A 24,165-nucleotide genomic window follows, 5' to 3' on the forward strand; every position below is an offset into this window, starting at 1 on the left:
GTGCCAAGAGGAGACCCAGGTAGGCGAGCCACCTGGACTGGGCCTCACCCCTTTCACCATCCCTGGCAGCTGAAGGTGCTCCCCCGGGACCTGCAGCTCTGCTCAGAGACAGCATCAGGTGTGGATGTTGGGGGCCAGCATGAATGGGGCGAGCTGGTGCAGCTGGATCCCCAGACTGTGGGTGTCATCGTGCGACTAGAACGGGAGACCTTCCAGGTGTGTGTGTTGTGCTCTGTGGCGGGGACTTGCTTTTAGGAGGCTTCCTGTCCCTCAACCCCTCATCCTGGGAGGTGGCAGAGCCCCCAGACTGCTCTGGGTTGCAGATCTGGCTCTGTCACTTACATCTGAATGGCTGATAGTGGGCACATGGCAAGTCATTGATCCCTCCCCTTGCCTGTTTTCACACCCTATAAAATGGAAACGAGAGCAGCGTCTACTTTGTTCATAGTGAATGATTCCCTGAGGTTAGATCTGTACCCTGGTGGCTGTTGCTCGCTCAAGGATGGAGTGCCACATGTGCCCTCCTGCCTTTGCTCCTTCCTCATGGATGTGGGAGTCATGGAGCACAGTACTTAGGATCCTGGACTCCACATCCACATCTTGGCTTTGTTGCTCCTGTGCTGTCTGACCCTGGGCTAGTGACTCACCCTCTCTGAGCCTGAGTTTCCCTCTGTAAGATGGAAATCATGACAGAATCCACCTCAGAGGAAGTTTTGAGGCTTCAGTGAAATCTTACGGGGCCTGACACAGAATGATGGATGAACAATGTTGCTATCAGCCCCTTCTTCCATCTCTCAGGTCCCTGTTGCCCAATCGGGGGTGGAGTCTCCTTCCAAAGGGTGTTTTAGAATGACTGGGAACATTTTTGGTTGACCCAGTACCTAAAGGGTGGCACTCTGCCTGCCTGCCCCGCAGCCAGGGAATTGAGATGCCTTGTGGAGCTTGGGACTGTCTCCCACAAGGAAGGATTATCCCACTTTAGGGAACCCCTGCCCCGTGTCTCCCCTTCCCATTCTCACCCCCACAGCCTCCCTGCTCTCCCTCTGTAGGTGCTGAACATGTACGGGAAGGTGGTGACTGTCAGACATCAGGCTGTGACCCGGAAGAAGGACAACCGCTTTGCTGTGGCCTTGGACTCAGAGCAGAACAACATCCATGTGAAAGACATCGTTAAGGTCATTGATGGCCCCCACTCAGTGAGTACAAGTTCCTGCTTTTGAGCTGCATCTGAAAGAATTTGGTTGGTTGGGGGTGAGGGGGACATGGTCAAGAGAGTGACCCTTCTCTCCCCGGCTAGGGCCGAGAAGGGGAGATTCGCCATCTCTTCCGAAGCTTCGCCTTCCTACATTGCAAGAAACTGGTGGAGAACGGGGGCATGTTTGTCTGCAAGACCCGCCACCTGGTGCTGGCTGGGGGCTCAAAGGTGAGGTGGGCATGGCAGGACCCTGTGCGTTGGGTACCTGGCTCAGCTCTCCAAGCCTCCTCTGGCCCCAGAAGTGATAAGATTGGGCTTGTGAGGGATTAGGAGAGCAGTGTCATTGTCAGGTCCTTGGCAAAGAGTGAGAAGGTTTATTTGGGATTCTGAGCTGTTCACCAAGTTATTTTAAGTTATTTATTCATTTCATTTTACTGAGCACCTGTTAGGTGCCAGACACTGGAGAACCAGTGGTGAACAAGACAAAAATACTCTGCTCTCACAGAGCTGATACTCTAGAGGTGGACAGACAGATAAACCCATCGTACAGCTTGAGGTGATAGCAAGCGCTGTGAAGAAAACAGAATGGGCTCAGGAGACAGGGAGTGACCAGGGCTGCTGTTTTAGACAGAGGAGGGTAAAAAAGGCCTCAGTGGGAGGCAGTATTGGAGCAGAGACCTGAATGAAGGGATGGAGAGTGAGCATTTTGGGGGAACAGCAAGTGCAAAGGCCCTGAGGTGGGGCTTGTAGGAAAGTGTGCAGGACCAGCTGTCACAGAGGAATTCAGGCCTGGGGTGTGGGTGGCTGGGTGGTCTCCTCAGGGCCCTGCACGTGGGATGATGAGTTCCTGTGGTTTGTGGTTCCCCCATCCCCTGCCTGCCAGTTCACTCCTTGCTTCTATCCTAGCCCCGTGATGTGACCAACTTCACCGTGGGTGGCTTTGCGCCTATGAGTCCCCGGATCAGCAGCCCCATGCACCCCAGTGCTGGAGGTGAGAGGGGTTCAGGGTCAGGGGATGTGGTGGGTAGAAGGGGCTGGAAGGAACTTGGTTGTTCAGCCTACACTCACTGAGTGCCTGTGCTGGGCTGGGCACTGCTATTAGGGGTTCACCACCCACAGGAGGGTAGACGCCACAGTGACAGCCCAGAATGGTCAGGGCTTCCATAGGAAAGCCATGGGGCAGGGGTGGGCAGAGGAGGCTCTTAACCCAAGTAGGGAGGAGTCAAGCAAGTGAAGGGGACGTTCTGATGGTGCCCTTGCTGTGGGCACAGCCGTGGGGGACCAGTGACATTCTCCCCAATCCCCAGGTCAGCGTGGCGGCTTTGGTAGCCCAGGTGGCGGCAGTGGTGGCATGAGCAGGGGCCGGGGCCGGAGGGACAACGAACTCATCGGCCAGACCGTGCGCATCTCCCAGGGGCCCTACAAAGGTGACCTGCGAGGCCTGTGGAGGCCTGGGGAGGGGCATGGTGAAGGAGAGCCTGCCCAGCCTGACCTCCTGTCCCCCTGCAGGCTACATCGGTGTGGTGAAAGATGCCACAGAGTCCACGGCCCGTGTGGAGCTGCACTCCACCTGCCAGACCATCTCTGTGGACCGTCAGCGGCTCACCACGGTGTACGGGCGGGGCCTGGGGAGGGCCAGGGTGGGGCTTGCTAGGCAGTGAGAGGGGTCTGCTCACCCCATTTGTTCTCTGCGTCCCCAGGGGCTCACGGCGCCCGGGCGGCATGACCTCGACCTATGGGAGGACGCCCATGTATGGCTCCCAGACGCCCATGTATGGCTCTGGCTCCCGAACACCCATGTACGGCTCACAGACACCCCTCCAGGATGGTGAGTGCCCGCAGGGGACAGGGAAGAGGGGCTAGGGGGACCTAGAGAAGGGACAGGACAGACACACTCATTTCCCCCATTCCAGGTAGCCGCACCCCACACTACGGCTCACAGACGCCCCTGCATGATGGCAGCCGCACTCCTGCCCAGAGTGGGGCCTGGGACCCCAACAACCCCAACACGCCGTCACGGTGAGTCCAGGGTTCCCCAGGTTCTGGTGTGTGCTGGTGTGTGTGAGGGATGATGCTGGGTGTCTGGGGCATTGGAGGGGTTTGTGGGGCCCACCCAGCATTCTCTGCTCCTAGCCTCAGGCTGGTCCCTTTGAAGGAGGAGGCATAGCATGGCGGGGCGGGGGCAAAGCGGCCTCCTCTCCATCCCCAACCTCAGTAGTGATTGTGGTTACCCTTGGGCCTGGAGAAAGACTGCCTGGGTGGAGTGACCTTGGGAGGGCACCCTCATCTCTGTCAACCACAGTGTCAGCTGTGGAAGGGAAATAACATCAGGAGTGCCTCTGGATGGGGCTCCCGTGAGAATGAAATTGCTTCAGTTGGGGGTCTGGTGTAGGGTGCTGTTCTGGAAGCATCCATCGCATTATCACCACAGTCGCTGTCAACAGACTTTTCTCCCAACAGGGCTGAGGAAGAATATGAGTATGCTTTCGATGATGAGCCCACCCCGTCCCCGCAGGCCTATGGGGGAACCCCCAATCCCCAAACACCTGGCTACCCAGACCCCTCGTCCCCACAGGTCAACCCACAATACAACCCGCAGACGCCAGGGACGCCGGCCATGTGAGTCCACTGGGGCCTGCCCTCGTCTACCCCTGCCCAAACCCTCCTACTGCCACCACCTCTTTTCCCCTCCCTCCTCCAACAAATGCCCCCTTCTCTCCTGTCTCTGCAGGTACAACACAGACCAGTTCTCTCCCTATGCTGCCCCCTCCCCACAAGGTTCCTACCAGCCCAGCCCCAGCCCCCAGAGCTACCACCAGGTGGCGCCAAGCCCAGCAGGCTACCAGAATACCCACTCCCCAGCCAGCTACCACCCTACACCGTCGCCCATGGCCTATCAGGTAATGGTCTGCCTGCCTGCCCTGAAGGGTGGTGGGCTAGGGTGACTTTGGGCATATAGGGTCGGCCAGGCCAGATGACTATTCCCAATGACACTTCCTCTTTCCCCTGCAGGCTAGCCCCAGCCCGAGCCCCGTTGGCTACAGTCCTATGACACCTGGAGCTCCCTCCCCTGGTGGCTACAACCCACACACGCCAGGCTCAGGCATCGAGCAGAACTCCAGCGACTGGGTAACCACTGACATTCAGGTGAAGGTGCGGGACACCTACCTGGATACACAGGTGGTGGGACAGACAGGTGTCATCCGCAGTGTCACGGTACGTGGGGCCCAGGGTGGTGGGTGAGCAGGCATCCTCTCCTTGGTACCCCCTAAACTGGAGACAGACCTGTCCCCAGATGGTGACAGCCCAGAGTGGGCAGAGCTGGGATTGAGGAAGCCTAGAGGGCAAGGGGAGCTATGTGAACCCAAAGGAGGCATCTTACCTGATTTAGCGGGGAATCAGGGAGGGCTGCCTGGGGAAGGAGAAATCTGAGCCAAGACCTGACAAATGAATAGGAGTAAGCTAAGGAAAGTGACTGGGGTGAGTGAGTTCCAAATGGAGGGAACTGCATGTGCAGAGGCCTGGAGGTGAGGGGAACCTGGGCACATTCCAGGAGCTGAAGGGTTTGTTGTGGCTGGAACATAAAGAGCCAAAGGGGGCCAAGCAGTGCTTCACACCTGTAATCCCAGCACTCTGGGAGGCCGAGGTGGGCAGATCACCTGAGGTCAGGAGTTCAAGACCAGCCTGGTCAACGTGGTGAAACCCTGTCTCTACTAAAAATACAAAAAAAAAAAAAAAAAAAAAAAAAGCTGGGCATAGTGGCGCATGCCTGTAATCCCAGCTACTTGGGAGGCTGAGGCAGGAGAATCGCTTGAACCCAGGAGGTGGAGGTTGTGGTGAGCCGAGATCGTGCCACTGCGCCCCAGTCTGGGTGACAGAGCAAGACTCCTCAAAAAAAAAAAAATGGTGAGTGATGAGGCCAGAGAGTTGGCTGGGGCCCTGTCATGCACCAGCCTGGAGGACCTAGACTGTCCAGAGGGCGCCGGAGAGCCATGAAGGAATCTAAGCAGGAGAGGGGTGGGAGCAGATCTGTGGTATGGAATTCTCCATCAGTGATGGATTGGGGGTGGGGAGACTGGGCTGGGACCCCAGGGGGAGGTTGGGCTGCACTGGGGCAGGGCTGTGGGGAAGAGGCAGGAGGCAGGTGGGAGAGACCCTCACGGGCTGAATGGCCAGGCCTCAGAGCTAGGGGCTTGTTGGTGAGGGAGGTGACCAAGATGAGGTCCAGAGCTCTGGTGGGGCCTGCAGACCATGGGGCGGTCCCTGAGACCAGGTCCAGGAAGAGGAGCAGGTGTGGGGAAGACGCTGAGGCCAGTTTGGGACATGAAGAGTCAAGAAGCAGTCTCCTTTTTGCCTGTTAGCTTCATTCTGATGCTTCCCTTGCTGATTGGGTCACCCTGTCCACCCTGACATGCACCACAGGCCCCAGGCCTTGGAACCAGGCCCAGCCTTGGCCTTTCCTGCCCCCATTTCACCTTGAGTTCTCAGAATGAGCCCTGAGCCTGTGTCCCCTGGAGTATGGGCCTCAGTCCCATGTTGGGAGCAGGACAGGCTGACCAGGCTGTCCCCATCCTCCAGGGGGGCATGTGCTCTGTGTACCTGAAGGACAGTGAGAAGGTTGTCAGCATTTCCAGTGAGCACCTGGAGCCTATCACCCCCACCAAGAACAACAAGGTAAGGGCAGGGGGCAAGGAGATAAGATGGGGCCGTTGGGTGCTGACATGGACCCTGACCATATTCCCCCCACCCCCAGGTGAAAGTGATCCTGGGCGAGGATCGGGAAGCCACGGGCGTCCTACTGAGCATTGATGGTGAGGATGGCATTGTCCGTATGGACCTTGATGAGCAGCTCAAGATCCTCAACCTCCGCTTCCTGGGGAAGCTCCTGGAAGCCTGAAGCAGGCAGGGCCGGTGGACTTCGTCGGATGAAGAGTGATCCTCCTTCCTTCCCTGGCCCTTGGCTGTGACACAAGATCCTCCTGCAGGGCTAGGCGGATTGTTCTGGATTTCCTTTTGTTTTTCCTTTTAGTTTTCCATCTTTTCCCTCCCTGGTGCTCATTGGAATCTGAGTAGAGTCTGGGGGAGGGTCCCCACCTTCCTGTACCTCCTCCCCACAGCTTGCTTTTGTTGTACCGTCTTTCAATAAAAAGAAGCTGTTTGGTCTAAAAGTGCGTGTGTGTGTGTGTGTGTGTGTGTGTGTGTGTGTGTGTGTGTGTATGCCGTGGGAATGAGGGTGTTGTTTTTAAGTGGGGTCATTTGCAGACCCCACTTCCTTGCTTTGTGGTTGGGGCAAATAACTGGACCCTACCTAAATCTGTTTTCCCATCTAGATAATAGTGATAGTGCCTGCCCCAGAGAGCTCTTGAGGGGAGTGTGTATGAGAAGACGTCGGAAGGAGATGATCAGAGTAGAGCTTGTCATGTGATTGATGACATTATATCTTATTCAGGCATGAATTATGCTAAGTGAAAATCACAGTATCCCCCAGGAAACCTAAATTCCTCCTGTGGTGCAGGATACAGTGCTTGATGGTCCTTTTTCTTTGTTTTCTCTTTATTTTTATTTTTTTGAGATGGAGTCTTGCTTTCTCACCAGGCTGGAGTGCAGTGGCACGATCTTGGCTCACTGCAACCTCCGCCTCCCGGGTTCAAGCGATTCTCCTGCATCAGCCTCCCCAGTAGCTGAGATTACAGGCGTGCACCACCACACCCAGCGAATTTTTTTGTATTTTAGTAGAGACAGGGTTTCACCATGTTGACCAGGATGGTCTTGATCTCTTGACCTCGTGATCCGCCCACCTTGGCCTCCCAAAGTGTTGGGATTACAGGCGTGAGCCACCGCACCTGGCCTTTTTTTTTTTTTTCCTCCCCTGAGACAGAGTCTCTCTCTGTCATCTAGGCTGAAGTTCAGAGGTATGATCTCGGCTCACTGCAACCTGTACCTCCTGGGTTCAAGCAATTCTCCTGTCTCAGCCTCCTGAGTAGCTGGGATTACAGGCGTGAGCCACCACGCCTGGCTATTATTATTTTTTTTTTTTTGTACTTTTAGGAGAGACGGGTTTCACCATGTTGGCCGGGCTGGTCTTGAACTCCTGACCTCGTGATCCGCCCGCCTCGGCCTCCCAAAGTGCTGGTATTACAGGCGTGAGTCACTGCACCTGGCCAATGATCCTTTTTTTTTTCTTTTCTGTTTGAGGTGGGGTCTCCCTCTGTTGCCCGGGCTGGAGTTCAGTGGTGCAGTCATTGCTCACTGCAGCCTCAACCTCCTGCGCTCAAGCGATCCTCTTGCCTCAGCCTCCTAAGTAGCTGGGACTACAGGCGTGTGCCACCACGCCTGGATAATTTTTTTATTTTTAAGTTTTTCATAGAGACGGGTCTCACTATATTGCTCAGGCTGGTCTCGATCTCCTGGCTTCAAGTGATCCTTCTGCCTCGGCCTCCCAAAGTGCTGCAATAACAGGCGTGAGCCACAGTGCTCAGCGGTCCTTTTTCTTGAACCCTGATAGCAGTGACACCAGGATTGCTGTAGTTCATCCAATGACTTGGGGGCAGGAGTGAGTGCAATCTTAGAGACTGGGGCTTAGTACCCAGAACCTGTTTCCCTTCCTCGTTAGATATTCCTGTCTTTTTACAAATGTAAATGTATTATAAAACATTTCAGGCCGGGCGCAATAGCTCATGCCTGTAATCCCAGCACTTTGGGAGGCCGAGGGGGGCGGATCATTTGAAGTCTGGAGTTTGAGACGAGCCTGACCAATATGGTGAAACCCTGTCTCTACTAAAAATACAAAAAAAATTAGCTGGGCATGGTGGCGGGCGCCTGTATTCCCAGCTACTTGGGAGGCTGAAGCAGGAGAATCGCTTGAACCTGGGAGGTGGAGGTTGCCGTGAGCCGAGATTGCACCAACTGCACTCCAGCCAGGGTGACAGAGCAAAACTCTGTCTCAAAAAACCAAAAAAAACCAACAACAACAACAAAAAAAAACACCAAAAAACATTTCAGACGTTCAAGATTATATACCAAGAACACCAATGTCCCCATCAGCCAGCTGAGGAAACAGGAAACAATATGTACTAGATAGGACCCACTTCAGCAGCACCCTAAATCCATTCCCCCAGAAGTAACCAGGAGGGCCGAGTTCCTTGTGTCTTTCCCTTTCTTGAATTTGTATTTTTACTACCTTGGTATTTGGTTTTAAAGTTTACATAAACAGGATCTGATTTTTCTTCCACTCAATTTAAGGGAGGTTCGTGGTGTCTTATCTATAGCCTCTAATTCGTTTCTCACTCAAGCCCTGTACAGCCAGATACTGCTGTTCTTTGGCTGAGCCTCAGGTAAAATGGTTGGCTCTCCAGTCCTTTATAGAAAATCATGGCAGGAAGGAATGGGAGAGAAAACAGATTCTGCCTCCCAGCTCCACGTGAGGAAGAGTTTTATTATTAATTTTTATTTTATTTTTTTTGAGACGGAGTCTCCCTCTGTCGCCCAGGCTGGAGTGCAGTGGCACAATCTAGGCTCACTGCAACCTCTGCCTCCTGGGTTCAAGCGATTCTTCTGCTCAGCCTCCCCAGTAGGTGGGACTACAGGCGCGTGCCATCATGCCTGGCTAATTTTTTTTTTTTTTTGTTATTTTTAGTAGAGACGTGGTTTCCCCATGTTGGCCAGGCTGGTCTCAAAACTCCTGACCTCAGGTGATCCGCCTGCCTCAGCCTCCCAAAGTGCTGGGATTACAGGCATGAGCCACTGCGCCCGGCCTATTATTATTAATTTTAAAAATAGAGATTGCAGTCTTGCTATGTTACCCAGTGTGGTCTCAAACTCCTGGCCTCAAGCGATCCTCCTGCCTCGGCCTCCCGAAGCACTGGGATTATAGGTGTCAGTCACAGCGCCTGGCCAGAAGAGTTTTCGAGGGCTGGCTTTTCAGGTCGTTTTCTGGGCCTCAATGTCTATTTCTGACAATGTGGGGAAAAGAAAGATCAGATTGTTACTGTGTCTGTGTAGAAAGAAGTAGACATAGGAGACTCCATTTTGTTCTGTACTAAGAAAAATTCTTCTGCCTTGAGATGCTGTTAATCTATAACCATACCCTGTTATAGATGACGGGGTTCTCTATAACCAACCCCGTGCTCTCTGAAACATGTGCTGTGTCAACTCAGGGTTAAATGGATTAAGGGCTGTGCAGGACGTGCTTTGTTAAACAGATGCTTGAAGGCAGCATGCTCCTTAAGAGTCATCACCACTCCCTAATCTCAAGTACCCAGTGACACAAACACTGCGGAAGACCGCAGGGACCTCTGCCTAGGAAAGCCAGGTATTGTCCAAGGTTTCTCCCCATGTGATAGTCTGAAATATGGCCTCATGGGAAGGGAAAGATCTGACCGTCCCCCAGCCCGACACCCGTAAAGGGTCTGTGCTGAGGAGGATTAGTAAAACAGGAAGGAACGCCTCTTCGCAGTTGAGACAAGAGGAAGGCATCTGTCTCCTGCCCGTCCCTGGGCAAGTCTTGGTATAAAACCCGATTGTATGTTCCATCTACTGAGATAGGGGAAAACTGCCTTAGGGCTGGAGGTGGAACATGCGGGCAACAATACTGCTCTGTAAGGCACTGAGATGTTTATATGTATGCATATCTAAAGTACAGCATTTAATTCTTTACCTTGTCTATGAACCGTTGTTCACGTGTTTATCTGCTGACCCTCTCTCCACTATTATCCTATGACCCTGACGCATCCCCCTCTCCAAGAAACACCCAAGAATGATCAGTAAATACTAAGGGAACTCAGAGGCTGGAGGGATCCTCCGTATGCTGAACGCTGGTCCCCTGGGCCCCCTTTATTTCTTTCTCTATACTTTGTTTCTGTGTCTTTTTCTCTTCCAAAGTCTCTCGTTCCACCTAACGAGAAACACCCACAGGTGTGGAGGGGCAACCCATCCCTTCAGACAATTGGGAGGTGAGGGCCGATTGCCTTACACGGTGAGACAAGCGGCCTGACTCGTGACTATTTTTTTGGACAAATCAGGCAGCCACTGACTCCCTTCATTATGGCCTCAGCTTTATCTCTGGGCAATAAGTGTGATCCCTTCCTTCGCTGCGTCCTTTGCAGGGGCGGTGGCGCTCTGCAAGGCCCAAGGGGGCGTGGTCCAGATGACTTTGAATCCCAGTTGTCGCCCCCAGGGTCAGCCAGGAGACTAGTCAGAAGCAAACGCGCCTGCGGCAATCCGCCCGATGCCTTTGGTCTCTCTCGGGCTTCCGTCCACCCGCCCCTCCCCCGCGTTTCCATTGGCTGTAGCTCCGGCCCGGGGCGGGCGAAGAGGGAGCGAGTGGGCGGGGCCGCGTGGCGTCAGCGCAAGATGGCGGCCTCGGCAGCGGTGTTCTCGCGCTTGCGAAGCGGGCTCCGGCTCGGCTCGCGGGGACTGTGCACGAGGTTGGCGACGCCGCCCCGCCGGGCCCCAGATCAGGTGAGCGGAACGAGGGTGGCCCTCTGAATGTGGGGTCCCTTCCCTGGAGTTACGGACATATCGCCGCCCCTTGGGGGTTCCGGGACGCCTCACCTCAGGGTGCTGAATGAAACGCCGCTTGTGTTTTGGGGCCCTTCCCAACCTCCTGGGTGGTTGCTCCCCTAGGCTGGAGGCTGGGAATCCAGGTGTGTCCTTAGACCCCACCTCCCACCCACGTGGGTGCCGGAGGAGGAGGGGGTTACCGTTCCCCGTTTCAGTGACCACTCAGGTGATACTTGAGCAGGAGGGGCCTGGGACGCTGGAGTCCCAGTCTGGCCGTGGGAGTTATTTTCTCTGTGGCGTTGGTGGTGGCGAGGTAGACGTTTGGGTTTCCAATTCGACTTGCCTCCATGTTGACAGAGACCCAGCCATTCTGACCTCCAAGTCTATCACTTCTGTGCCTTAGTTCCCCAAGCCCCAGACAAGTGATTGCCCTTCCCCGCCTCCGCTCCTATCCCTTACCCTATAACTCTGCTACTTTTAGCCCCAAGCAGCCGGACGTCGTAACTCCCGGTTCTGTCTGTACCCCTTCCCCCACCACTTGTGCCCTCCGTTCCCTCTCATCCCAGTGTTTAGGCCCTCCCATCCCTTATTCTCCGTGCTTTGCTTTTCTGGGCTGCAGACCCTCCAGTCCTGTTGCCTTCAGGATCCTGTGCACCTGGCCTGTTAGCTTTTAAAACTCCTGGCATCCTGGTGCGGGACAGTCTGGTTTTGACCCTCTGAGCAGCCCCACATCCTGACTGCTACTCCAGGGACACAGATGTCCAGGGCTCTGTGGGTGTCTGCCTCTTGGCTCCTGAACTTGATTCTTCTTGGACTGGAGGGTGGGGACCATCCTGACCTCTCTTCTCTCTTGGCTGACCTCCCCTTTCTCAACCGCAGGCCGCAGAGATCGGGAGCCGCGGGAGCACTAAGGCGCAAGGGCCACAGCAGCAGCCGGGCTCAGAGGGTCCCAGCTATGCCAAAAAAGTTGCGCTCTGGCTTGCTGGGCTGCTTGGAGCTGGTGGGACTGTGAGCGTCGTCTATATCTTTGGTGAGGGACATATCCCTGTCCCCCAGTTTTGTTCCTTGGCCTCCCTGGTCCACTGTGGAACCTCCCACTCTTGCCCACTACCAGCTTCTCTCGTCTTCATTCCCTGGCTCCTTCCTCAATAGGGCAGCCAAATAAGACACCTACCTTGAAAACCAGGGAAGTCTTCTTTCTTCTCCCTTCCACTCCTTAAGGTTCTAGTCTTTCTAGTTGGTTCCTGTACCAGGATAAAGGAAAGAGGGGAAGATGGGGAAGGATAGGCCTGGATCAGCTTCCTAAACTTTGTCTTTCCTCAGCAGCCAAAAATCCAGCCTTCCCACTAGTTACTTTAAATCCCACAGACCCGGCCGGGCACGGTGGCTCACGCCTGTAATCCCAGCACTTTGGGAGGCCGAGGCGGGCGGATCACGAGGTCAGGAGACGGAGACCATCCTGGCTAACACGGTGAAACCCCATCTCTACTAAAAATACAAAAAAAAATTAGCCCGGTGTGGTGGCGGGCGCCTGTAGTCTCAGCTACTCGGGAGGCTGAGGCAGGAGAATGGCGTGAACCCGGGAGGCGGAGCTTGCAGTGAGCCGAGATCGTGCCACTGCACTCCAGCCTGGGCAACAGAGCGAGACTCTGTCTCAAAAAAAAAAAAAAAAATCCCACAGACCCAAAAGACCTAGCCCCAGCCCCATTTCTCTCAAAGACCCAGGAATCTTGGCTCCCAGCCCCCTCCTGGCTTGACTCCAGGAGGCTGTGCCTCTCTCTTTCCTCAGATCCAGGAGTCCAGGCCCCTTATCCCACTCCTCCCTCGGGACCCAGGGGACTGGGCCCTAATTCCTCATATTCATCCTGGTCTCCCTTGCAGGAAACAACCCGGTGGACGAAAATGGTGCCAAGGTGAGGGGGAAAGAGACCGAGGCCTTGCCAGGAGTCCTAGTCTGTGGGTGAGAGGGGTCCCCTTTGGTCTGTTCAGGCACATTGCTGGTCTGGAGTGAGCCTTTCTTTCCCAGTGACCTTTGCCTGTTCCTCTTGGGGTCCTGGAGATTCCTTTTCTGTATGTGATGGGGTTCTGCCTCTGACATCCTAAACCTTCCATTTTTCTCTCTACCTCCCAGATTCCTGATGAGTTCGACAATGGTGAGTAAACAAGCACAGATTCTGGAGTCCCTGACCCTCTCAACTCTGTCATTTGTAAGGATGTCTCTCTCCCCATCTGGTGTCTCCGGCCCCTCCTCCTTCCACTGGGGAGGTGGGGGAGCCAGCAGCTGGATGGCTTTGTGGGGAGGGACATTACAAAGCCCAAGCCCACTTCCCTGGCCCCTCAGCCCCGAGCAGATGGTCAGAGACAGATGGGGGATTGGAGCCTTGGGTGGGAGGGCTTGGGGACACAGGGTGGCCTATCTCCAGACACATGGGTTCCTGTGCCTTAGACCAAGCATCTGCGGTTCCCAACTCCTTCCCCATCCCCCTCGAGCCCCTACCCCATTAGGCTCATTTTCAAAACTATGCCGCCTTCCTCTCTCCCCTTCTGGTTAACCAGCTTTTGGTGGTGAAGTAGATGACAAATTGGATAGTAGAGAGTAGCTGTCAATCCTGTCACACCTGGCTCTTCCTAGGAGAAAAATGAAATTGGTGGGTCCAGAAAGCCACCTGTTTATGCTGGGGGATGTTTGCAAACAGTCATGTTAATACATTGATTGTTTCAAACTGGGCAGTTGTAGAATCATGCTGGCTTCAACAAATCAGTATGCTGATTTAAATTGGGCAGGTACATCTGCAGTTTTAAAGTGTATATGTTTACTAGCCTAACTGGTTTCAATATTGTGGTTTATTTTTATTTTTATTTTTTTTTGAGACATAGTCTTGCTCTGTTGCCTAGGCTGGAGTGCAGTGATGCAATTTTGGCTCACTGCAACCTCCACCTCCTGGGTTCAAGCATTTCTCGTGCCTCAGCCTCCCGAGTAGCTGGGAGTACAGGCGCACACCACCACACTCAGCTAATTTTTATAGTTTTAGTAGAGACAGGGTTTCACCATGTTGGTCAGGCTGGTCTCGAACTCCTGACTTCAGGTGGTCACTCGCCTCAGCCTCCCAAAGTGCTGGGATTACAGGCTTGAGCCACCACTCCTGGCCCAATATATTGTGTTTTTTTTAAGAGGCAGGCCCATGTATTGCACTAAAAATACTGTATTAAAGTAGGTAGCCTTGTAAGTTTACTGTTTTATACTGGATTCATTAGCCGGGAGTGGTGGCCTGTGCCTGTGGTCCCAGCTACTCAGGAGGCTGAGGTGGGAGGATCACTTGAGCCTGGAAGTTACAGGCTGCAGTGAGCTGTGATCCCGCCACTGCACTCTAGCCTGGATGACAGAGTGAGTCTCCATCTCTAAAAAAAAATAAGTTAAAATGAGAAAGTAAACTGGAGTCAATATATTCACTTAAACCAGGGTTTTTCACCCTTGGCCCTATTGACGCTTTGGACCAGATAATTATAGAGGACTGCCCTGTGCATTGAAGGATTTTTGCAGCATCCTGGGCATCTGCCTACTAGATGCCAGTATTGCGATAACCGGTTATATCTCCCGGCATTGCCAGATTTCCCAGGGGTAGGCAGATAGACAAAATTGTTCCTAGTTCTGAACCACTGTTTTATGGTATATGGATGTGTTTATATATTTATTGTGGTTTAGATTCAGCACACTGGATTAAAGTGGGCAGATCTGGAAGCCTAGTGATTCAAAGTGGGCAAAATACAGTGGCATAAATTAGGTGTGGTGGCTCACGCCTGTAATCCCAACACTTTGGGAGGCCAAGGCGGGAGGATCACTTGAGCCCAGGAGTTCAAGACCAGCCCGGTCAACAGAGCAAGACCCTGTCTCTATTAAAAAAGTATGTATACCCTGGTGTAATGTCAGCAGATTTACATGTATGTGGGTTTTGTTTTGTTTTTTTTTTTTCTGAGACGGAGTCTTACTCTGTTGCCACGCTGGAGTGCAGTGGTGCAATCTCGGCTCGCTGCAACCTCCACCTCCCGGGTTCAAGTGATTCTCTTGCCTCAGCCTCCCAGGTAGCTGGGACTACAGGCACATGCCACCACGCCCGGCTAATTTTTTTTTTTTTTTACTGTTTTAGTAGAGACAGAGTTTCACCATGTTGGCCAGGATGGTCTTGATCTGACCTCGTGATCCGTCTGCCTCGGCCTCCCAAAGTGCTGGGATTACAGGCGTGAGCCACCGTGCCCGGCCTTGTATGTGGGTTTTAAGTGGGCCAATGTAATAAGCATTCTGTTTCATACCTGGGGTAGTATGTGGATATAAGTATCAGCTTAAAATAGGGCAAGTAAATAAATCTGTGTTCCTATCTGGCGGTATGTCATTGCCTTCTATCTTTGGACCTAGAAATGAGTTGGTTCAAACCAGGCAGATATGCAGACCTGTTTGTATCTGGTAGATAAGAAACCCCTGGTTTGTCTGGGAGGTTGAACAGCGGCTTATTGTGGAATCTCTTTGTGCCTGGTGTTCTCCTAGATCCAATTCTGGTACAGCAGTTGCGCCGGACATACAAATATTTCAAAGATTATAGACAGGTGAGCAGAAGCCCTGGGCTCAGTCCCCATGTCTCCAGCCCTGGCCTCCTTGTCTGAGCGCCCCCATCCTGTCCCTCTCCCACAGATGATCATCGAGCCCACCAGCCCTTGCCTTCTCCCAGACCCTCTGCAGGAACCGTACTACCAGCCACCCTACACGCTCGTTTTGGAGCTCACCGGCGTCCTCTTGCATCCTGAGTGGTCGGTGTGTCCCGGGAAACCCAGTGGGTTGGGGATAGACCTGGGCAGTGGGGTTGTGATGAGGTGGACTTTCAGCCCTGGCTGTGCTATGTGATCTTGGGGAGGAGATGTCACCTGTCATTGCCTCGCTTTCTTCAGCTGGGAGAAGGCAGTCATGCTAACACCCACTCTGTAGGGTAGTGTAGGTGTGCCCAGGCACGCTATAAGTGCCACAAAGGAGCCAGACCCGCAGTCACAGCCTATGAACTTCTTGACCTCCAAGAGCCACAGAGACAGAGGGAGAGAACTCTGTTCTGGGAATCCCCCAGGCTGGATCTTTGTCCTCTTGGGGACTCTGAGGACCTCTGGGTCTTGGTGTTTCACTGTCCTCACTGTCTTCCCAGCTGGCCACTGGCTGGAGGTTTAAGAAGCGCCCAGGCATCGAGACCTTGTTCCAGCAGCTTGCCCCTTTATATGAAATTGTCATCTTTACGTCAGAGACTGGCATGGTGAGGCTCTGGGGCAGGGGAGGGAATATTGGTGTGGTGGGAGGCGTAGAGATCTGGAGGACCAGGGCTCAGCCTGACCTTTTCTCGCTCCCTTCCCACCCCCAGACTGCGTTTCCACTCATTGATAGTGTGGACCCCCATGGCTTCATCTCCTACCGCCTATTCCGGGACGCCACAAGATACATGGATGGACACCATGTAAAGGTGCCGTGGGTTCATGGGTGGGCCTCTGGGATTTGGCGGAGTTGGCACCACCTGAGGGAAGGAGGGCCCAGCTCTGACCCTAGCCTCACCTGGCTTATGGTTCTGCCCAGATTCGATTCCTGCTGGCAGGCACATGCCTGCCTCTAGCCTTGGCCAGACATCTGCACCCTTCTTTGTTCCCTGGAATCTGGGTGTGGGAGTGGGGGGAAATGGGGTCTCTCTAAAGAAGACAGTTGGGGGTTAGTGGTAAGGTCGTACGATTTAGAAGCTGGTTTTATCTTGCTGTGTCTGTAACTTAGTGTTTCTGGGAAGGTTTGCTTATAGTTGTACATATGAGACTGGTTGGGGTTTGTTTGACCCGGGCTCTGTTACTGTGGCCAGTGCTGTATTCAGGAGTCCGGATCTGCGAATGGGCCTCTGTGGGTCTGGCTCCAAGTGTCTGTGTGTCTGTTGGTTTCTGTCTGTGTCGTGTCGGGGTGGGGGTTCTGTGTTGCTCTTGGAAATTCCAAAATACGTGGGCTGTGATCGAGGGTCTTGAAGGGTCTGTGTCTGGGTGCCTGTCTGTGTGGTTCCCTGGGTGTGGCTGCAGATCTGTCTGCACCTGTTTACTTGAGTGAGAGGTTCTTAAACCTGCAACATACCACAGTCACCTGGGCAGGGGTTAAACACGAGAGTGGCCACCTCCCTCTCCAGGGAACTTCCTAATCACCTCTCTGTGTGCTAGGCCCTGGGTCTAGAAGTCTATGTGATTAGCTCCCCAATATCCTGGGGGTTGTTTTGTTTTTTGTTTCTGAGACAGGGTTTTGCTCTGTCACCCAGGCTGGAGTGCAGTGGTGTGATGAACATGGCTCACTGCAGTCTCAACCTTCTGGGCTCAAGCGATCTTCCCACCTCAGCCTCCTGAGTAGCTGGGCCTATAGGCACACACCACCATGCCTGGCTAATTTTTATTTTTATTTTTATTTATTTATTTTTTTTGTGAGACGGAGTCTCGCTCTGTTGCCTAGGCTGGAGTGCAGTGGCGCGATCTTGGTTCACTGCAACCTCCCCCTCCCAGGTTCAAGCGATTCTCTTTCCTCAGCCTCCCGAGTAGCTGGGACTACAAGCACACACCACCACACCCAGCTAATTTTTTGTATTTTTAGTAGAGACAGAGTTTCGCCATGTTGCCCAGGCTGGTTTTGAACTCCTGAGCTCAGGCAATCTGCCCACCTTGGCCTCCCAAAATTCTGGGAGTACGGTCGTGAGCCACCGCACCCGGCCATTTTTTGTATTTAGTAGATACGGGGTTTCACCATTTTAGCCAGGCTGGTCTTGAACTCCTGACCTCAGGTGATCCGCCCGCCTCGGCCTCCCAAAGTGCTGGGATTACAGGCGTGAGCCACCATGCCTGGCCCTCTGTGGGGGTCGATGCCATCATCCAAAGCCGGTCTTTGAGAGGCCCTGCCATTGTGATCCCAGTATGTGTGATGCTGTGTATGTATGTATGTTTTGTGTGTTTTGGGTCTTCTTGATGGGGGGAGAGTTGGGCACAGATGTTGACCTGATCTGTCACTCACTTCCAGGATATTTCATGTCTGAATCGGGACCCAGCTCGAGTAGTAGTTGTGGACTGCAAGAAGGAAGCCTTCCGCCTGCAGCCCTATAACGGCGTTGCCCTGCGGCCCTGGGACGGCAACTCTGATGACCGGGTCTTGTTGGATCTGTCTGCCTTCCTCAAGAGTAAGGCTGACCCCTGATCCCTTGGCCTCTGACCCCAGAGCCCCTGACTCTGAAGAGGAAGGATAAATGCATGATTCATGGCTGGGCGACTGAGGTGCAAGAGGTGCCTGAGCACCTTGGAGTCTTTAGGAGCTTCTTAGGATGTTCATGGAATGTTTGGGGGATACTTGGGGATGTTCAGGGGAGCCCTTTCAGAGCGTTCAGAAGCATTCCAGGTAGCACTGACTGCCCCCGTGCCCCAGTGCGGGACGTTCCCCTCATGGGCCCTGCCTCCCTCTGGCCTTTAGAAGCCTGGCTGACCACCCCCTGTTGTGCCCACAGCCATTGCACTGAATGGTGTGGAGGACGTGCGAACCGTGCTGGAGCACTATGCCCTGGAGGATGACCCGCTGGCGGCTTTCAAACAGCGGCAAAGCCGGCTAGAGCAGGTTGGTGCTCAGATGCCCAGAGTGGAGGATCGGCTCTGAGGCTCCTGAAGGAGGAGCCTGGGGCAGTCCATCTCCACACTCTTGGTTTGGCTGTGTGACCCTGAGCAGATACCTCCTCTCTGCCTCAGTCTCTGTAACCAGGGGGATATAACACAGCCTGTCCTGTAGGGCTGCCAGAATGAGGGGATGCATTGATTCTGCAGCCTGCTCTGAGAACAGGAAACAGGAGAGGATTTGAGATTAGGCTGGGAGAGGGGTTGCCCTTGATGGTCTTGAGTAGGTCTGGGGGCACCTTGTGGAGGTGGATTGTGGGTTTTAGATCAGGCCTGGAAAGAGGCTCCCTGGGCACGTGGCCCAAGGCTGTGGGGAGAGATGTGATAGTCTTGGTGGGACCCTGGTAATTTGGAAGTGGGACTGAGAGTATGGATTGCGTCTGGGTAAGATTCCCAGGGGTCTAGGCTGAGGTTCACCAGATTCTAGGTTAGGTTCCTAGAGTTGGGAGCCCCTGAGTGCCCAGAGAAGTCCCTAGAGATTTGGGCCTGGGGACCCCCCAGGGAACCCCCCACCCCTGCATCCAGAGAGGGGTCATGGGGCTCAGAGGGCCCAGGGGCAGGATGATGCAGTCTGGTGAGGAGGGCCATGGGGTTTGGACCTGGGATCTCACCAGCATTCACCTTGGGGTAACAGGGTCTGCGATAGGATCTCAGGCTCAGGGGAGGGGTCCCTGGGATCTGGGGAAGGAGATTATGACAGTCTGGGGCCTGAGAACCTACTGCAGTTCAGGCCTGAATACCTCGAGTGCCTAGTATTGGAGTCTGTCGTCCCCCAAACATTGAAGCCTAGGCTCCTGCGGCTCAGAGCTGGCTCTTCCTAGTGTCTGGGGTGGGGGGACTGGGGTCTAGGGTCCCTTGTGTCTGGGCTGGGGGCCCCAGGGTTTGGGGAAAGGGGTCTGGACTTGGCAGAAGTCAGAAGGAAAGGTGGTCCCTGGGCTGAGGCCTGGGGACCTGGGCATCTGGGAGGAGGCTCTGTCCACCTTGCGCTGACCCTCTCCTCCAACTGTCCCCCTACCCCAGGAGGAGCAGCAGCGCCTGGCCGAGCTCTCCAAGTCCAACAAGCAGAACCTCTTCCTTGGCTCCCTCACCAGCCGCTTGTGGCCTCGCTCCAAACAGCCCTGAACTCTGGGCCTCCTCAAACTCAGTGCCTGGGTCCAGGGCCCCAGTGCTTCCAGACCAAGACTTGGGCCACCACTTGTCCAATAAAGTACATCCCAGACGCCACACCTGCTGTGTCCCGAGAGTCTCCAGATGGGGGCATCAGGGTGAGGTCCGGGACTCTTGGGTCATCGTCCCACAGTGGCTGATCGGCTGCCAAGCACAGTGGGGGTGCTTTGTTGGATCAGAGCAGATTTTTCACCCTGGTCTCGGAATCTAAAAACCCTCGCTGTGTCTTCCTGTGTGTTGCGTGATCTGTGAAAAATACATCTCCCTCTGACCACAGACTCCTCATCTGTGGAGAAGGGAAGAGAGGATGGCACTTGGCTTTAAAGACAGGTAGCTGCCAGGCTACTGTGGAGAGAATGTGTTATGGGCCTAGTGGGCCTCTGGTGGACCAGAGATTACCCCTCTCAACAGGCCAGCTGCTGGTTGGCTCCAGCCAGTGTGGCCCTGGGGTAAAGGGGGCCTGGAGTTGCTTGACACGCCAGTTGTTCAAAAGAAGCAAGAACTTGGGAATATTTTTTTTTTTTTTTTGAGACAGGGTCTCACTGTTGCCCAGGCTGGAGTGCATTGATGTGATCTTAGCTTACAACAGCCTTGACCTCCCGGCTCAAGTGATCTCCAAGTGACCCTCCTGCCTCAGCCTCCTGAGTACCCTCCTGGGGACTACAGGTGCGTGCTACCATACCCAGCTAATTTAAACAAATTTTTTTTTTGTAGAGATGGGGTCTTGGTGCCCAAGCTGGTCTCAAACTCCTAGTCTTAAGCAATCTTCCTGCTTTGGCCTCCCAAAGCGCTAGGATTCCAGGTGTGAGCTACTGTGCCCAGCTAAAATAGGGATTTTTATATTAAATCTCCCTATTTTAAAATGTTGGCTCCTAGCGGGGCGCAGTGGCTCACGCCTGTAATCCCAGCACTTTGGGAGGCTGAGGTGGGTGGATCACCTGAGGTCAGGAGTTCAAGACCAGCCTCAACATGGAGAAACCCCATCTCTACTAAAAATACAAAATTAGCTGGGCGTGGTGGAGCATGCCTGTGATCCCAGCTACTCAGGAGGCTGAGGCAGGAGAATTGCTTGAACCTGGGAGGCGGAGGTTGTGGTGAGCCGAGATCGCACCATTGCACTCCAGCCTGGGCAACAGCAGCGAAACTCCATCTCAAAAAATAAAATAAAATAAAAATAAAATGTTGGCTTCTAACTAAAACAGGCAGATATGTAGCAGTGTTCTCCACTGGAACTTTCTGTGATGTTTGGTTCATGTTCTAGGTCTGTACTGTCCAGTACAGTAGCCAGTGGCCACATAAACCTTTGTTTTTTTTTTTTGAGACGGAGTTTCGCTCTTATTGCCCAGGCTGGAGTGCAATGGCACGACGTCGGCTCACCACATCCTCCGCCTCCCGGGTTCAAGCAATGCTCCCGCCTCAACCTCCCAAGTAGCTGAGATTACAGGCGCACACCACCACGCCCGGCTAATTTTTGTATTTTTTTAGTAGAGACAGGGTTTCACCATGTTGGTTAGGCTGGTCTCGAACTCCTGACCTCGTGATCCGCCCGCCTCGGCCTCCCAAAGTGCTGGGATTGCAGGCATGAGCCACCATGCCTGGCCCCACATAAAGTTTCTGAGCACTTGAAATGTGGCTAGTGTGACTGAGAAACTGAATTTTTAATTTTGTTTGAGACTGGGCACAGTGGCTCACGCCTGTAATCCTGACACTTTGGGAGGCCGAAGCAGGAGGATTGCTTGAATCCAGGAGTACGAGACCACCCTGGGCAACATGGTGAAATCCTGCCTCTAAAAAAAAAACAAAGTAACGAGCCCAGCGAGGTTATGCATACCTGTAGTCCCAGCTACGTGAGAGGCTGAGGTGGGAGGAATCCCTTGAGCCAAGGAGGTCGTGCGTGGCTGTGATGATCTGTGATCGTGCCGCTAAATTCTAGCCTGGGCAACAGAGCGAGACCCTGTCTCAAAAAAAAAAAAAAAAAAAAAAAAACCTTAAGATTTTTTTTTGGAGTCAGGGTCTCGCTGTGTCGCCCAGGCTGGAGCACAGTGGTGTAACTATAGCTCACTGCAGTGTTGAACTTCTGGGCTCAAACAATCTTCCTGCCTTGGCCTCCCCAAATGCTGAGATTATAGGAGTGAGCCACTCTGCCCAACTACTTTTAATTAAATAGCCACATGTGTCTCCTGTATTGACAGTACCACTGTGTATTAAGAGTATGAGTCCCAGATTGTGTAAGTTCAAATCCAAGCTCTACCACTTCTCGGCTGGCTTGTGATCCTGTGCAAGTTACTTTACCTCTCAGTGCCTCGGTTTCTACATTTATAAAATAATAACTGGGCAGGCACAGTGGCTCATGGCTGTCATCCCAACACTTCAGGAGGCCGAGGTGGGAGGATCGCCTGAGGCCAGGAGTTGGAGAGCAGCCTGGGCAACATGGGAAGAGCCTGTCTCTTGCGGGGGGGGGAGAAGAAAGTTCTTGTCTCAGGCTAGCTTTGGGGACCAAATGAAGCACTCCCATGTAGGCACTCAAATGGAACTATGTAAACCTTAGGCAAGGCACCTCTGCCTCAGTTTCCTCATCTCTAAAATGGGGTGATGGTAGTATGTTAGCAGAGTGGTTGTGAGGAGTGAACGGGACAGTCCGTATGTGGGTTATATGTATATATTCCCAGGTGCTTGCTGTTACCAGGCCATATGGGTTATTCACAGATTGAAATATCTTAGCTGGGCACGGTGGCTCACCCCTATAATCCCAGCACTTTGGGAGACCGAGGCGGGTGGATCACCTGAGGTCAGGAGTTCGAGACCAGCCTGGCCAACATGGTGAAACCCTGTCTCTACTAAAAAAATACAAATAAATTAGCTGGGCATGGTGGTGGGTGCCTGTAATCCCAGCTACTTGGGAGGCTGAGGCAGGAGAATCGATTAAACCCAGGAGGCAGAGGTTGCAGTGAGCTGAGATCACACCATTGCACTCCAGCCTGGGCGACAGAGTAAGGCTCTGTCTCCAAAAAAAAAAAAAAAAAAAAACAAAAAAAAAACCAGTTTGACTTTATCTCCCTCGCCCTGCCTCCATCCCCACATTGCCCCCCACTATCCCAGTCTCTCCTACTCCAGCCTTCATCTAGTGCTAACTGATTAAATATTCTAAGATGACCTTCTCTGGTGTGTGTGATGATAATTAAAAGGCATTCAGAACTGTGTGGACCAGACTGAACCTCTGCACTCTAGATTTTTTTTTTTTTGAAGCCTCTACAAAGGATAATTAAAATTTACACCATGACTCTTTGTCCTGGGGTGCACTGTCTGTAAGCCGGTGGAGTTATTTCCCAAAATCCTTGGTCCTTCCCAGCTTGAGGAAGTCTGCAGGACTGAGGGAGGGGACCTGTGCTTTTTTTTTTGTTTTTTTGAGATGGAGTCTCTGTTGCCCAGGCTGGAGTGCAGTGGGGCGATCTCGGCTCACTGCACCCTGCACCTCCTGGGTTCAAGTGATTCTCCTGCCTCAGGCTCCCAAGTAGCTGGGATTACAGGCGTGTGCCACTGTCAGGCCTCTGAGCCCAAGCCAAGCCATCGCATCCCCTGTGCCTTGCACATATACACCCAGATGGCCTGAAGTAACTGAAGAATCACAAAAGAAGTGAAAAGGCCCTGCCCCGCCTTAACTGATGACATTCCACCATTGTGATTTGTTCCTGCCCCACCTTAACTGAGTGATTAACCCTGCAAATTTCCTTCTCCTGGCTCAGAAGCACCCCCACTGAGCACCTTGCGACCCCCCACTCCTGCCCGCCCTTTGACTGTAATTTTCCATTACCTTCCCAAATACTATAAAACAGCCCCACCCCTATCTCCCTTCGCTGACTCTTTTCGGACTCAGCCCACCTGCACCCAGGTGAAATAAACAGCTTTATTGCTCACACAAAGCCTGTTTGGTGGTCTCTTCACACGGACGCGCATGAAAGCCACCACACTCAGTTAATTTTTGTATTTTTAGTAGAGACAGTTTCACCATGTTGGCCAGGCTGGTCTCGAACTCCTGACCTGAGGCGATCTGCCCGCCTCAGACTTCCAAAGTATGGGGATTACAGGTGTGAGCCACTGTGCCCGGCCTAATTTTTGTATTTTTAGTAGAGATGGGGTTTCACCCCGTTGGTCAGGCTGGTCTTGAACTTCTGACCTCATGATCCACCTGCCTCGGCCTCCCAAAGTGCTGGGATTACAGGCGTGAGCCACCGCGCCTGGCTTTTTGTTTTGTTTTGAGACAGTGTCTCACTCTTGCTCACACTGGAGTGCAGTGGCGCTGTCACCACTCACTGCAGCCTCGACCTCCTGGGCCCTCGTGATCCTCCCACCTCAGCCTCCCAAGTAACTGAGACTACAGGCACATGCCAACATGCCAAGCTAATTTTTTGCATTTTTTTTTTTTAAGAGAGATGAGGTTTCAGGCCGGGCACGGTGGCTCACAGCTGTCATCCCAGCACTTTGGGAGGCCAAGGTGGGCGAATCACGAGGCCAGGAGTTCAAGACCAGCCTGGCCAACTTGGTGAAACCCCGCCTCTACTAAAAATACCAAAGAGTGGCTGGGCGTAGTGGTGGGCGCCTGTAATCCC

The 24,165-nt window shown here is 53.4% G+C and overlaps 2 protein-coding genes and 1 long non-coding RNA gene across 11 annotated transcripts in view, besides 3 other annotated features; all 3 read left to right on the forward strand.

Annotated features, from left to right (window-relative positions):
- Positions 1-6,363, forward strand: part of SUPT5H (SPT5 homolog, DSIF elongation factor subunit) — a 31,089-nt gene extending 24,726 nt beyond the window's left edge. For all 6 annotated transcript variants that reach the window (NM_001111020.3, NM_001130825.2, NM_001130824.2 and 3 more), the window contains 13 exons: positions 70-216; positions 1,050-1,196; positions 1,298-1,423; positions 2,102-2,186; positions 2,503-2,622; positions 2,705-2,807; positions 2,896-3,023; positions 3,109-3,214; positions 3,656-3,814; positions 3,927-4,095; positions 4,208-4,411; positions 5,774-5,869; positions 5,949-6,363. In NM_001111020.3, coding sequence (NP_001104490.1) covers positions 70-216; positions 1,050-1,196; positions 1,298-1,423; positions 2,102-2,186; positions 2,503-2,622; positions 2,705-2,807; positions 2,896-3,023; positions 3,109-3,214; positions 3,656-3,814; positions 3,927-4,095; positions 4,208-4,411; positions 5,774-5,869; positions 5,949-6,092 — 1,734 coding nt within the window. In that variant the 3' untranslated portion in view covers positions 6,093-6,363. The remainder of the gene's footprint in view (positions 1-69; positions 217-1,049; positions 1,197-1,297; positions 1,424-2,101; positions 2,187-2,502; positions 2,623-2,704; positions 2,808-2,895; positions 3,024-3,108; positions 3,215-3,655; positions 3,815-3,926; positions 4,096-4,207; positions 4,412-5,773; positions 5,870-5,948) is intronic.
- Positions 3,986-4,115: a silencer, noted in NCBI's record as "silent region_10606". NCBI's record gives its function as "represses an Ori minimal core promoter by ATAC-STARR-seq in GM12878 lymphoblastoid cells {active_cell/tissue: GM12878}" and the evidence as "EXISTENCE:reporter gene assay evidence [ECO:0000049][PMID:35858748]".
- Positions 10,219-10,813: an enhancer, noted in NCBI's record as "H3K27ac hESC enhancer chr19:39971166-39971760 (GRCh37/hg19 assembly coordinates)". NCBI's record gives its function as "activates a minimal SCP1, AML or CMV promoter by ChIP-STARR-seq in primed H9 embryonic stem cells {active_cell/tissue: H9 hESC(primed)}" and the evidence as "EXISTENCE:reporter gene assay evidence [ECO:0000049][PMID:30033119]".
- On the forward strand, positions 10,531-23,472 carry TIMM50 (translocase of inner mitochondrial membrane 50). Of its 4 annotated transcripts, none has more exons than NM_001001563.5 (11): positions 10,531-10,654; positions 11,576-11,726; positions 12,578-12,609; positions 12,828-12,849; positions 15,237-15,295; positions 15,381-15,500; positions 15,880-15,984; positions 16,090-16,188; positions 17,754-17,910; positions 18,232-18,338; positions 19,412-23,472. In NM_001001563.5, the coding sequence occupies exons 1-11, from the start codon at positions 10,547-10,549 to the stop codon at positions 19,511-19,513; spliced, it is 1,062 nt and encodes a 353-aa protein (NP_001001563.2). In that variant the 5' UTR covers positions 10,531-10,546; the 3' UTR covers positions 19,514-23,472. The 4 variants fall into 4 exon arrangements, with proteins under 4 accessions (NP_001001563.2, NP_001316488.1, XP_011525793.1 ...); XM_011527491.4 differs by having other exon boundaries at positions 10,648-10,753; XM_047439681.1 differs by lacking the exon at positions 10,531-10,654 and adding an exon at positions 10,923-11,009.
- Positions 10,934-10,983: an enhancer, noted in NCBI's record as "active region_14623". NCBI's record gives its function as "activates an Ori minimal core promoter by ATAC-STARR-seq in GM12878 lymphoblastoid cells {active_cell/tissue: GM12878}" and the evidence as "EXISTENCE:reporter gene assay evidence [ECO:0000049][PMID:35858748]".
- LOC124904718 (uncharacterized) lies at positions 12,857-15,069 on the forward strand. The gene is made up of 2 exons (XR_007067257.1): positions 12,857-14,483; positions 14,940-15,069. It is a non-coding gene; the product is annotated as an uncharacterized LOC124904718 (long non-coding RNA).

This window comes from Homo sapiens, chromosome 19 (genome assembly GCF_000001405.40).
Source record: "Homo sapiens chromosome 19, GRCh38.p14 Primary Assembly".
In the NCBI taxonomy this organism is placed as follows: domain Eukaryota; kingdom Metazoa; phylum Chordata; class Mammalia; order Primates; family Hominidae; genus Homo; species Homo sapiens.